The sequence below is a fragment of the Homo sapiens genome, chromosome 3, assembly GCF_000001405.40.
Source record: "Homo sapiens chromosome 3, GRCh38.p14 Primary Assembly".
NCBI lineage: Eukaryota > Metazoa > Chordata > Mammalia > Primates > Hominidae > Homo > Homo sapiens.
In genome coordinates this window covers 137053138-137067225 of record NC_000003.12, presented here as the reverse complement: position 1 = coordinate 137067225, position 14088 = coordinate 137053138, and the positions used below count along the sequence as shown (strand labels likewise).

The window sequence follows — 14088 nt, the reverse complement described above, 5'->3', positions numbered from 1 at the left end:
CTCCAAAGCCATCTTTACTGGATAGAACCTACTTGGGGGTTCTTATTGGTTTCTCTGATTCCTTGAATGCATAGCAAAGTCAGCATACTTGGGAATGCACTCAACCACTTCCTTCTTCCTGCTTTGGCCAAAACATAAGGGGCCTGTTTGCCGGAACCTGCCCGTTACCTGTATACTTGACATAGTTCTCACAGCCCCATCTAGCAGAGCCAGTCTTCCAATGATGACTCTTGTGTCTTGCACTTCAAGAGCAACAATTCCAGTGTGACGCTGGGGCCTGTAATGCCTTATAAGGCACGTCTTTTACCCACTGAGAACCTAGCACTGAACTTCTCTGGGGAGCATGATTTCAGGGGGAAATCATCTGCTTTAAGGCAATTCTGGATTTTCTTCATGTGTGAAATGGGGATAACACTAGTACAGCAAAATTATATTCCATAGCATTAGTTGATGTGATGCTATATAGGCACTGTCCTACCCAGGCTCTGCAACTAAAGGGAAAGACATCCTGATGTAGTAACAAACAGTTAACTTTGAGAACAAATGTGCTGCATTCTTAATCTTTTAAGGTCAAATGACACTTTCTAGGTGTGAGACAGGAAAAATTTGAAATGGGGATGCCCATAGAGAGAGCAGGTATGTCCTTGTACTCCACAGAAAATGGAAGACTTCAAAGCTGGAGGAGAAGGAAGAGAGTTTTGAGAGAAGAAATAAGAATACACTCTGGAGGAGCCCAAGTCCCTGCCTCTCCCCTCTGGGCCAAGCCCATGCTGGGCAGAGAGGATCTGAGAGTGGAGGGGACTTGTTGCTCATGCTAGAGTCCTGAGATCAGCCAGCAGCCTTGCAGAGATGACAGTGAAAGGTAATGGGCCTGGATGGAGGAGCCCCAGGAGTCTGTGTGGGCCTAACTGGAGAGCAGAAGGTCACTGAGAATGAGCACCCATGAGCCAGCCTGGAGGTAACCATAGCACAAGGCAAGTGAACCTGAGAGCCGAGGCTGGCAATGCTTGCCCAGACAGATCAGACAAAAGTCTCTGCAAATGAACTCAGGGTGTCAGCAGCAACACAAGAGCAAAAGTGGGGCCAAGTCAACAAAGGAAAATTTCCCTGCTCCCAGAATAAGCAGCGTGCCCAGACTGAGATGGGACAAGAGACAAAGAGGAGCATCTGCAGCAGATTGCTACATTGGTGAGACAACCACAGGCCAGACACCTGCTACCCCAAGGCCACTTGATTCTGAAGATTCCCTTGAATAAAATGCATGAGCATGAGGGGCAGAGACCTTGAAATGGTTACATTTTGAACTATAAATAACCAAGGAATTAATATGTTGGGCTAAAAGTCTTGGAACATTGCTAGACTACACATTCTTCTAGAATCAAAAATAAGAATTTGCAAACTGAATTCAATGTTTGAGAAATTTTTAGTTTCATTTCTCCTCATCTGAGTCTTATTGTACTATGAAACTCACAGTCATTGTACTTGCTTCACAGTTCTTATTGTGATTAAATGAGGCTCCTTCTGTAAGGTCCTTAACCCTGGGCTTGGAGCATAGTAAGGACTCACAAATGTTAATAACCCCCACCTGCCTTTGTCTATGCCTTTCAGAGTTAATACCTGTGGGCTAGAGCAAGGACAGTGAAAGAATGCAGGAAGTAAACACTCACTCTCAACCTTGGAGCTGCGCTTAATCCCCTGGTAGCCCTAAGGCTGGTGAAGCCTCCCAGACACTGACACCCCACTCTTGTATCTCTTCTCTGTACAGTCAGGCAAGCTTGGCCTCTCACTCTGACACCCACAGGGAGTCCCTTTGTTAATCACACCCTTTGTCTCACTTGGCCCAAAACACCAGCATTTAAGATCACTAAATCACCCTCTCTCTTTCTTTATCCCATGTCAAAATGAAACTGCATTCACTCTGCTATGAATATTAAATAAATAATGCCATTACTCAGACATTGCATGTTCAATTCAGCTTGCCTAAAGAGAGATAATGCAGAAAGACCCCAACAAGGAGACAAAGATCTTTAGATTGAGTCCAGAAAGACAATTCAAAACCTCTATGGCCAGATTGTGACAGCCTTCTCAAGAAGTTTCTTCTACCATCAGTAGGACTCTAATTTCGTAGCCATGTAACAGGCTGATTCCCTCATTTTATAGGCGTTCAGCTGAGTCTGCAATGTGAGGTATCAATTTCTTCCTTCAAGAAAAAGATGAGCTACTACGCAACAGAAGATGAGATTTTTGCGAAAAAGTTAGAAGAATTTTATAGCCTGTTTGTGTCTTCCATACCACCCATTGACAGCAGGGCCTCCATAAATGCTTATTAAAATTAATATTGTTTGAGCAAGTCAAAGGAGAAGAAAATACTTCTGCAAATCTATGCATGATATAACTCTCTCCTGCACAGAGCCTGGGATGAGGAACGTGATGGATGTGATGGAAAGAACATTGTGCAGAGAATAAATAAACTGTATCCAAACAGCATTTGGAATAACACTCCCAGGAGTGGATAGGTCTGGGTTTAGGAATCTGACTGTTCATTCACTCCATCTCTATAATTTACCTGAGGCATCCACACACATAATATTACCATCTGGTATAATGATGCTGATTTGGTAAAATCTCAAGTCAAACTAGAGCTTGCCCAAGACATAGTGACAAGTGTGTAGTCAGCATCTGCTATCACACATTTCACCTCTATCAAAGGCATTAGCCTCTCTGCCAACTCCAGAACTACAAAGAAGCCTTTTCATAATTGAGTTTGATCTACAATCACTGTTAGGGGGTCTCTTGCATACTTGTGTCAATTTTAACCACCCATCAGAGAATCCAACAACTATAATAGTAATACGTACATATATGACACTTTATAATTTACAAAAGAATCTTACCGACTTTACGAACATTCTTTCAGCATTATAAGAGTAGGTATGATTATCACTATTTCACAGGTGAGGAAACTGAGGCTCATAGAAAATTAATGACTTGCCCATGATCACAAAGCTAGTAAGTGGTAGAGCCAAGATTTGTACCCAGATCTCTGGTGTTGCGTCTGTGTTCATTCCAGCAGATCCTGTGTATTATTCAGGGCATAGTGATATTATTCTCAGTCATTCACTTTTGCCCATGACCTTTCCCCACTTCTCAGGCAATAGCTAGGGCAGTCTGGGCTTACTGAATTGGAAAGGAAAGGCATAAAAAATAAAGAACAAAAATGAGTTTCTGGCTTTTAGGTTTTGAAATTTCTGGCAGAGAACATAGCATAAAAATCTCAAAATCCTCGTTTCTGAGTACAAAAAGCCAGGCTTCTACAAACAATAGAATTTAGAAGACATGCCTGAGAAAAGAGAAAGTTAATTTTGCCACCCAAGACTCCACAGGCCAGGAGGAAACAAAGATGTTCAGGGAGAGTCAGAGATTAATGCAGAAGTGGGAATCTGCACCCTCAGGTGAGAGTTTTAGGTCCAGGAGACAGACCTCGCAGGGAGCAAACCTTAAGGTATTCCGCCATGATCGCCACCTCCTGGAATTCACATCCTTGCCTAATTCCCTCTGCTGAGTGTAGGTGGACCCTATGACTTGTTTCTAACCAATAGAATACAGCAAAGGTAAGAGATGTACATGATTATGTGCATGTGATTATGCTACATACAATTATAGTGCCCATCTTGCAAAGAGACACTCTTCCTTGCTGGCTGTAAATAGCCAGCTGCTGTGTGCATTACCTATGGAGAGGACCATGTGGCAAGGAACTGAGAGCAGCCTCCAATGAACAGCCAGCAAGAAACTGAGACCCCCTCCCAGTCTGGCAGCCTGCAAGGAACTGAATGCTGCTAACAACCATGTGAGCTTGGAAGCAGATTTTTCCCCAGTTGAGCCTCAGATGAGAACTCAGTCCTGGCCAACACCTGGACTGCAGCCTTGCAAAGAACCCAGCTAAGCAGTAGTCAGACTTCTGATTCACAGAAATCATGAGATAATAAATATATGTTGTTCTAGTTTGCGATAACATAGTTGTAGAGCAATAGAAACTAATACAGATTAGTTCAGGGATCTGTAGGAGAACGGATGTTTGTCATTCCCAGGAAAGACCCAGCCGGGTAAGTGAGGTTCCTAAGAGTTTCATAGCCCCAAATATGGTACAGATGTAGTGGAGCAAAATGGTAGCAGGACACATTTGAGCAAACAGAGCCTGGCATAGCCAACCCTGAGTCTTCCTCGGCCTTATAGAGGCTCAGGAGTACAGCCAGGGGGCTCAAGGATGTGGCTTAGGACGAACAGAAGATAAGGAGGGTCCCTGTGGTCAAGACAAGAAAGGCACAGACCAATGGCACAGACATCTCAGCAGGTCACTAGGATGGATGCCAGGAACCAAACCAGAGGAAGACAGTTACACATCTCAGATGCCAGCAGGGACTTTTGCTGTGACCAGACACCAGGAGCTCTCCACGAAGCTGAGGTAAATTGATGCTGCTCCAGGGAAAGAGTGGGAGTTCCTGAACAATGGTGTTCATTCTGGAAATGACTGCATTTACCTGGAAGTGATTGCAAGCACATGTTCGGCCATCAGTGGAGGGAGAAGGCAAGTAAACAACCTGCTACTATAGGCTGATGAGTGCTGGATAGCAAGAAACCCAGGCATCTTGGGGATGTAGGGAGGGATCAGTAAAGTTTTCTTAGAGGAAGTAACACCTGAGTGGAGGGTTATTTTTGCTTTTTTAGAGACAAGGTCTCACTATGTTGCCCAGACTGCAGTGCAGTGACTATTCACAGGTGCAATCATGGCACGCTATAGCCAGAGTGGAGTTTTAGAAAATGAGTCATAATGAGATTCAGTCCACGTAAAACTGCAAACTTTTATGACCCTATGAGTTTAACTTTTCAAATTCTAAGATTCTTTGTTCCTAAAGTCTGAAGATCAAAGCCTCCTTGCTGGCATTGTTATCTACTGGGGCCCTGCTTGGGAGTGGGAGAACACAAATTAATACAGCTAAAATATATCTGAATCAGCCTCCTATTCTTCCTAATTTCCGACATCTCTGTCATCTCTGCCTTCAGGACTTGCTTCCTTTTTTAATTTACTTCTTTATTTTTAATAAATGTTCTGCATGCACACAGTTTCAAGAGTCAGATCATTTTGTAAGACTTGCATGAAAAATAGCAGTTGTATACACTGCCCCATCCCCTCCCCGCCCCCAGTTTCACCACCAGAGGAAAAAACTTTCAACTTCTAGAAGATGTTTTGGACATTTTTGCCCCTATCTATAAGTAATGTGCTGATACTGCTACTTTTCGATTTTTTTCATTGCACCATCCACTGGCTTCCCAATATGAAAAATGCGACTTTTTCACCATTCTTTGCAATCACACCACACACACCTACTTCCTATCCTGATCCTCCCAATGGAGTTGATTCATAATTTTAGTTAAATTCAAAACATTCAGTGTTTACATTATTATGATGATGTAAATGCTATTCACAACTTACTTGTGAGGCTTGTGAGCTATGATTACATTACTTTATAATACAGTTTGTTTTCCCTTGAGTTTACGCTTGTCTTGGTCTTTCGTTTGTTAAGTTTTCTATATCCTTATCATGAATTCAACCTCAAAGTCTTCCCCATATATGTAAACATCTTCTTACTACGTTCAAACTCATTCAGCATCTAATCATTTTTGCCTTCTTGAATAATTATCTCCTGGTCTTCTGATCCACTATGGCAATCTGAACTGTTTGCACAGCTGTTGTTTTTAGGCTTCCCTTCACCATTATCCTAGGGATAGCTTTGTTTCCTGTTTTGGATCTTCTGTTTCCTGTATCCCAGTTTGTAGTATTATACCCCATTTCACCACTTTTAGTGCACACACGCACACACACACATACACACACACACACACGCACACTTCCTGGCTTCAGTGTGCTTTTGCTTCCAACAGCCAGCACCTACGGACCTTCTTCAGAAGACTGCCCTTGGCTACTGGAAGTGCTTTGTCTAAAGCCAGAGAACCAAGTGCCTAGGAATTTTTATCCCCCAGCCCCCACCCTCCAGAGCATTGACTAGTATAATTGATTCTTATACTAGTTTGGGAATATGCCAGCCAGCTCCCTTGCCTCAGGTTGGGACAACTCTGAAGTCATTTATACCACAGAATTCTCCAGGATCAGATAGAAGTCACCCTCCATGAAACGCTGCCTGGAATCACAACTTGATTGGCTTCCTCTCTCTTTTGTCCTGCTTCCTCCACTCCTTTATAGGTCTCTTTAATAAATCACTTGCACAAGAATCAATGTCTCAAAGTCTTCGAGGGAGTCCATCTGAGACACATATCTTCCTTTTGCTCAGTTTAATTTCCTGGTTTGTTGGAACATGTCCTCCAATAGCTTCCTGAGAAAGGGTGTATGGCATATAAAATTGTTTAGGCTTTCTATCCTTGAAAACATCTTATTCTACTAGCACACTTAATTGATAGTTCAGTTTTTGTGATGATTAGTCTTATGTGTCAGCTTGGCTAAGCTATAGTACCCACTTACTTAATCAAACTCAAATCTAGATGTTGCTCTGAAGGTATTTTGTAAATGTGCTTAACATCTACGATCAGTTGACTTTAAGCAAAAGAGATTAAGATTATCTTCGATAATGTGAGTGGACTTCATCAAATCCACTGAAAGGCTTGGAAAGCAAAAACTGATGTTTCCTGAAAAAGAAGAAATTCTTCCTCAAGACTACAACAATAATTCCTGCCTGCGTCTACAGCCACCCTACAGATTTTAGACTTGCCTGCCCCCATGATCACGAGCCAATTACTTGAAATAAATCTATTTGTATATATTTTACATATATAATGTTACATACACAGTCGTCCCTCAGTATCCATGCGAGATTGGTTCCAGGACCTCCTGGGATACCAAAATCTGAGAATGTTTAAGTCCCTTATATAAAATGGCATGATATTTGCATATAACCTAAGCACACCACCACATAATGACATTTTGGTCAACAATGGACCACTTACACAAAAGATTATAATACCATGCCCTTACTATACCTTTTCTATGTTTGGATACACAAACACTGTCAACAAATTAACTGAGTGTGGTTCCAGGCACCTGTAATCCCAGCTACTCAGGAGGCTGAGACAGGAGAATCCCTTGAACCTGGGAGGCGAAGGTTGCAGTGAGCCGAGATCATGCCACTGCACTCCAGCCTGGGCAACAAGAGCGAAACTCCATTTCAGAAAAAAAAAAGATACACAAATACCATTGTGTTATAATTATTTACAGTATTCAGTACATAACATACTGTACAGGTTTGTAGCTTAGGAGCAATAGGCTGTACCATAGAGCCTAGTAGTAAACTATACCATCTAGGTTTGTGGAAGTACATTCTGTAATGTTCACATAACAACAAAAGGGCCTAGTTATACACTTCTCAGAACATATCCCAAGCTTTAAGCAATGCATGACTGTACTTTAAATCATCTCTAGACTACATATAATGCCTAATGCAATATAAACAGCTGTTATACTGTATTATTTTTAATTTGTATCTTTTCATTGTTGTGAGGGGTTTTTTTGGTTTTGGGGACTTTTTTAAACATTTTTGATCCAGGGTTGGTGGAATCTGCAGATATAGAACCACAGATACGGAGGGCTGACTGTATATCCCACTGGACATATCATATTGGTTTCTCTGGAGAACGCTGACTGATACAAGTGGGCATCAAAGTCATCTCATCTCAATATTTTGATGTTTTATTTTATATCCTACAGTAACTTCCAGTGTCACTGTTGAGATTTCCAATACTATTTGATTCCTGACCCTCACAACATAACCTGCTTTTTCTCTCTAAAGGCTTTTGGCATCTTTCCTCATTCCCAGTGTTCTAAAATTTTATAATGCGTCTTAGAGTTGGCTGATTTTCTCTCATTGTGTTTGACACTCAGTGGGACCTCTCAATCTGTATAATCAAGTTTTTAATTCTGAAAAATTCTCTTATTTATTTAATAATGTATTCTTCTTTGCTATCTCTATACTCTGTTCCTTTGACTTTTATTATTTGGATATTGGACCTCCTATACTGGTCCTATAACTTTCTTATATTGTCACTTCAATTTTCTATTACTAGAATTTTTCTTCTACCATTTGAAAGATTTCATCAAATTTTTCTTCTAACCCTTCTATTGAATGTTTACTTTTATCTCACATGTTTTTAAATCCCAACAGTTCTTTGTTTAATAGCAATCCGTTTTTTGTTGTTTGTTTGTTTCATGGCTGACATTTTTTTTTTTTTTTTTTTTTTTTTTTTTTTTGAGGCAAGGTCTTACTCTGTCACCCAGGCTGGAGTGTGGTGGCATGATCACACCTCACTGCAGCCTCCAACTCCTGGGCTCAGGTGATCCTCCCACCTCAGCCACCCAGATAGCTGAGACTGCAAGGGCACACCAACAAGCCCAACTAATTTTTGTATTTTTTGTAGAGACAAGATCTCACTATATTGCCCCAGTTGGTCTCAAACTCCTGGCCTTAAGTGAAATTCCTGCCTCACCCTCCCGAAGTGTTGGGATTACAGGCATAAGCCACATACCTGGACTGCAATATCTTCTTTTATCTCTCTGAGAATATTATTGATAGTTGTTTTTCATACTTTTTCTTGGTACAGAATTATTTATTTCAAAATATTTGTATCTGTTTTAGTCTCTCTGTCTTGGCCAATTTTCTGTTGCTTGTAACAGAATACCTGAGACTGAGTAATTTATAAAGAAAAGGCATTTAGGCCAGGCACAATGGCTCACACCTGTAATCCCAGCATTTTGGGAGGCTGAGGCAGGCGGATCACTTGAGGCCAGGAGTTCGAGACTAGCCTGGCAAATATAGTGAAACCCCATCCTCACTAAAAATACAAAAATTAGCTGGGTGTGGTGGCAGGCACCTGTAATCCCAACTACTTGGGAAGCTGAGGTAGGAGAATCACTTGAACCCAAGAGGTTGCAGTGAGCCAAGATCACGCCACTGCACTCCAGCCTGGGGGACAGAGGGAGACTCCATCTCAAAAAAAAAAAAGGCATTTATTTCTTACAGTTCTGGAGGCCAAGTCCAAGGTCTTTTCTTCTACATCTGGTCAGGAACTTCTTGCTGATAAGGATACTCCACAGAGTCCTGAGGCAGTGTAGGGCTTCACACAGCAAGGGAGCTGAGTGTGCTAGCTCAGGTCTCTCTTTCTCTTCTTATAAAGCCACTAATCCTGTTCTCATGATAACCCATAAATCCATTAACCCATTTCCATTACTCCACTAATCATGAATGGGTTAACCCATTCATGAAGGCAGAGCCCTCGTGACACAACTGTCTCTTAAAGGCCCCAACTGTGAATACTATCACATGAGTTTTGGAGGGAACAAACAGTCAAACCATAGCACCCTCTCTTACATCTAAGAAGATTTCTTCATAACATGGAGATCCTAGACCATCTGCTCCCAAGATTGTGACTCTAAAAGTGTCATTGGAAGTCCAAAGTATGTAGTGGGAGTTCATCAACTCTCATCTTCACAGTCAGGTAATCTGGCTGGGCTATTTGTCAGCCGACCCTGGGTGTCAGCATCTTTAAGTCTTTCCTTTCAGTCTGATGAGACTCCTAGGAGACATTTCTTCCAGTCTCCTACATGGACATGAGGGTTCTGGTACCAGTTGAGTTGCTTCTTGGATTTACCCATTGCTAGGTTAGGATTTAGCTTTTTCAAGTCAGTCAAGGCCATTGCCACTTGCCCACCTGCTTTCCACCCGTGATATTTAGTTGACTTGGTTGATTCCCTTTCTTTGTCTTTGTGAATTTATAAGTTTCAAAAACCCTTTTATTCATGAGCTTACAAGGAAAAAGCAAGGTGAAATAGGTGTGTTTTCATTCAATCTACCAACTCTATCTGGAAGTCCTCTGAGGCATTTTAATCCTTCAAACTAGACTGTATATGACTAAGCCTTCCTTCTCTTGAGCCTTCAGAAGCTGGATTAGTTTCCCAGGGCTATCATAACAAAGTACCAAAAACTGGGTGGCTTAAAATAAAAGAAATGTATTGTCTCACACTCTGAGGGATTAGAAGTCCAAAACCAAGTGTCAGCAGGTTTGGTTCCTTCTGAAGTCTGTGCGGGGTAGTTTATTCCATGCCTCTCTCCTAGTTTCTGGTGGTTTGCTGGGAACCTTTGGCTTATAGATGCATCACTCCAATCTCTGCCTTCGTCTTCATATGGCATTCTCCCTGTGCCTCTCTCTTCACATCGTCTTCCCTCTGTCCTTGTCTGTCTCTGTATTCACATTTCCCCCTTTTGATCAGGACACCAGTCGTATTGGATTAGGGCCCTGATAATGACCTCATTTTAATTTGATTATCTCTATAATGAACCTATTTCCAAATGAGGTCACATTATGAAGTTTTGGGGATTAGGACTTCAATGTGTCTTTATTGAAGGACACAATTCAACCCATAAAGGAACCAACTTACCTTTCTTTCCTCACATTCAAGATGATACCCAGTACAGAAGGGCCACCTGCTTAAATGTGTCTGCTGTGAAAACCTCAGCCACTGAAGTAAATGTTGGTCTCTCTGTGAAGTTGATGTATCTGAAAATCGCAGCATTGTATGGAACGGACAGCAAGTAAGTGAGGAGCAGCGCTAACATGGATGGCCTCAGAGGGCCCCTGTCTGGGTTCCTCATATCTGATGTGAGGACACTGACTCCCAGAACAGGGAAGGGCTATAATTCACTAGATATTTGTCAGACAAATAAGTCAGTCCATTTACAGTGATTATTGTTGATGTTAGGAACCCTGGTTTGGAGTCAGGAAACTTGATAGTCTGAATAGATTCTATCTTACCTCAAGTTTGACCTTTCTTGATGTTTCAAAATTCATGTGATTTTTGCATTCTACCTGATAATATATGCTTATTTGTTTTAATGTTCAAATAAAACTTTAAATAACTTGCCTTAGAGTATATTTAATTCTCTGGGAGAAGATGCTGTGTTTTCATCCTAAGGCTTTGTGTAACCCTAACACAATTTTATAGATACCTTATTTGAGACAGCCCTGGTGAAATGCAGATGAATTAATAGCCTGTAAGACTCTCTCCCTCCCACAGTTCTGTAAGAACATACGTTCTAACCAATAGCAAATCCCAAAGAGATTATGAGAGGCACAAGAGGAGTGCCTTGTCTTTGTAGACTCATACCACATGGCAACACAAGCCTAAAGAAAGGAAGGCTGGAGCCTCCAAGACAGCCATGAGGAGGAACCAAACCTAACTTGAACTCTGGTTCACTTGTGCTCCCTGTCCAGAGGTAGAACGATGTAGTGGTGAAAAATGCAGGTTTGGCCCCACAGACCAAGGATGACTCCTGTTTCTGCCACTTCCCAGCCACATGAGCCAGGGCAAACAAATATTAATTATTCTTTGGAAATCTAGCTTGAGAGTCAATCTTGTCATCCCCCAGGACCGTGGCTGACTTCTGCCTGGACAGAATGCATGAAGCAGCTAAGGATTCTAAAAGTAAAATGCTAGCAAACAGATTGGGGAAGGAAACCAGAACTCGAAGAACTAGAAAAAAAAATAGTGAGTTTCCTGGTTTTATCCCTCAATACCTCTGAGCCTAGATTCAAAGTTAATCTGAAACCTGAGCTGTACACTAGATGAGGATAGAAAGAACTCCAAGAGAAATGTCTAACTCCAACCTGAGGCCTAAGAAAGAAAGCCCCTATAGGTCAGAGAGAGTGGGAGAAATACCCTGGGTGGGTTGCTTTTCATTCAGTTTCTACCCCCAGGCAATATTCTTCCCTTACAACATGGGCAATGGGAGCAGTAACCAGGCAGGCACCTAAACTCCAAGAGTGGGGAAGCCCCCTCTCTCTGACCCAGGAACTGGGGTCTGCAGAGCATGGAGAGAATCCCCGTTGCTTTTTTTCTGTATGTGGTCGCTCGCCTGATGGCTCTGGATGCAGACACAGTCTCAGGAAATACATGGCAGAGTAGGGAAGCTAAAGCCCCAACTTCCTAGCGAGACCAGGAGGGGAAGACCTTGGGAACCAATAAATGTCAGGGACAGAAGACCCAATCCTCAGCTACAAGAACAAGTCCTGACAAGTCTAACTATAGCAATTCACTGAAGTCTCACTGGGCCTAACAGCAATTGGTTTAGGTACAAACAGGGAATGCAGTTCTAGCCAATGAGAAATGAAAGAAAGGCTCCCAGGGTGTGGAGTGGGGCGTAAGGCAGATTTAGGTAAGTGTTTTTTTTGCTTTGGAAAGGAGAGGGTAAGAGACAGTCCTGATAGTACGCATCATGTCTGTGGACTGGAGCCACAACAGCCATGCTGGGACCGTGATCAGAACTAGCAAAGGACCAAGCTGACCCTCTGATACTGGCAGAATGGAAAAACGAACAGAACCTGGAGCCACGGAGTTAACCAGCCTGGAGGTGCCCAACCATGACGTTTTTGTTATGAGAGACAATATATTTTTTCTGTTTTTTTGAGCCAATAGAGGCAGGACTTTCTAGAACTTGCAATCAGAAGTTACCTAAGAATAATACCTGCTAAGGTGCATACGAGGTAAAAAGTTCACTAGAGCAGGAACATAAGGTCAGATCCCCACCTGCCCAACCCAAACTTGACCTCACTTTATATTGTTTTAGGTCCCACCTCTGAAACCGGGAGTGTAGGAAGTCTTTCTCAAGGTTCAGAGGATGTATTCACTTCAGGGGAAAGAACAAAGACAGTATCTGGAACAAGGAATGAAGGGAGACCCTCTCTTCCATGACCAACCACAGATATTTGCAGCATCCTTATAATGTCTTCCTGGGCAGCCAACAGGCCCTACCACTGGTGCTAACCCAGGTGGAGAAATTGTGAGGTCAGCTCGCTAAGGGAAGCTAGAGACACCCCATGTGCTAAAAAGAAAATAATTTACTACATGGATTACTCAAGTAATGAGGCTTTAACCACTGTTTCATTTTCATCAAATAGATATTTGATAAATGTATAAATAAATAATTTTATAGGAAAAATAGCCCATGAATTTAAAATTCTCATCTATTTATATCCATCTACATTTTTTCCAGACTCTTCAAAGCACAGACACCATTTATATAAAATTTTAAGAGTGGTATTTTATTCTGCATTCTGCTTTGCTTTGCATTTAACATTGTGATGTATAGACATTTTTACATATGAGCACAATTCACGTATTTTTTCATTTTAGTGTTCACAGAGAATTCTGATACACTGTGGTTCACTTAACCATTCCCACTCACTGGGCATTTTGGTCACTTTCCATCTTCCCCTATTATGAACATCCTACCATACATAGCTCTCTATAATGGCTTTTTTAAAATTTGGATTATTACCTTAGGGTATATTCCCAAAAGTGGGATTATACAGTCAAAGGGTATGAATGTTTTCATATTCCTTATTGCAAACTGCCAGCTTGTACTTCAGGAAAATAGTAACAACTTACAGAACAGCCAGCCTTGTATGTGGATTTTATGTGCAGAATCTAATACAATGGGTTTTATTGATCTTATTTATTTTTATTAATTTAAAGTTGACACCTCATAGCTGTTCAAATTTGTATTTCTTTGTTATTCAGACTGAACATTTTTTCATGTTAATTACTATTTGTAAAAAATAAAGTCTGGGCATGGTGGCTCATGCCTGTAATCTCAGCACTTCGTGAGGCTGAGGCAGGAGGATTGCTTGAGCTCAGGCATTCAAGACCAGCCTGGTTAACATAGTGAGACCCTATCTCTACAAAAAATTTTGAATATTAGCCAGGAATGCTAATGTGGACACCTGTGGTTCCAGCTACTCTGGAGGCTGAAGCAGAAGGATTACTTGAGTCCAGGAGTTCAAGGTTACAGTGAGCTATGATCATGCCACTGCACTCCAGCCTGGGCAACAGACCAAGACCCCATTGGTTAATTAATTAATTAACTAGTTAATTAATTAAAATTTAAAAAGACATTTTAATAGGGCAAATCTATCCATTATGATAATATGACATTAATTGTAAAGGTGATACTAATGAAGATATCTTCCTTT

The 14088-nt window shown here is 41.6% G+C and overlaps 2 annotated features.

The window, feature by feature from the left end:
* Positions 1456-1565: an enhancer, noted in NCBI's record as "active region_20595". NCBI's record gives its function as "activates an Ori minimal core promoter by ATAC-STARR-seq in GM12878 lymphoblastoid cells {active_cell/tissue: GM12878}" and the evidence as "EXISTENCE:reporter gene assay evidence [ECO:0000049][PMID:35858748]".
* Positions 4341-4530: an enhancer, noted in NCBI's record as "active region_20594". NCBI's record gives its function as "activates an Ori minimal core promoter by ATAC-STARR-seq in GM12878 lymphoblastoid cells {active_cell/tissue: GM12878}" and the evidence as "EXISTENCE:reporter gene assay evidence [ECO:0000049][PMID:35858748]".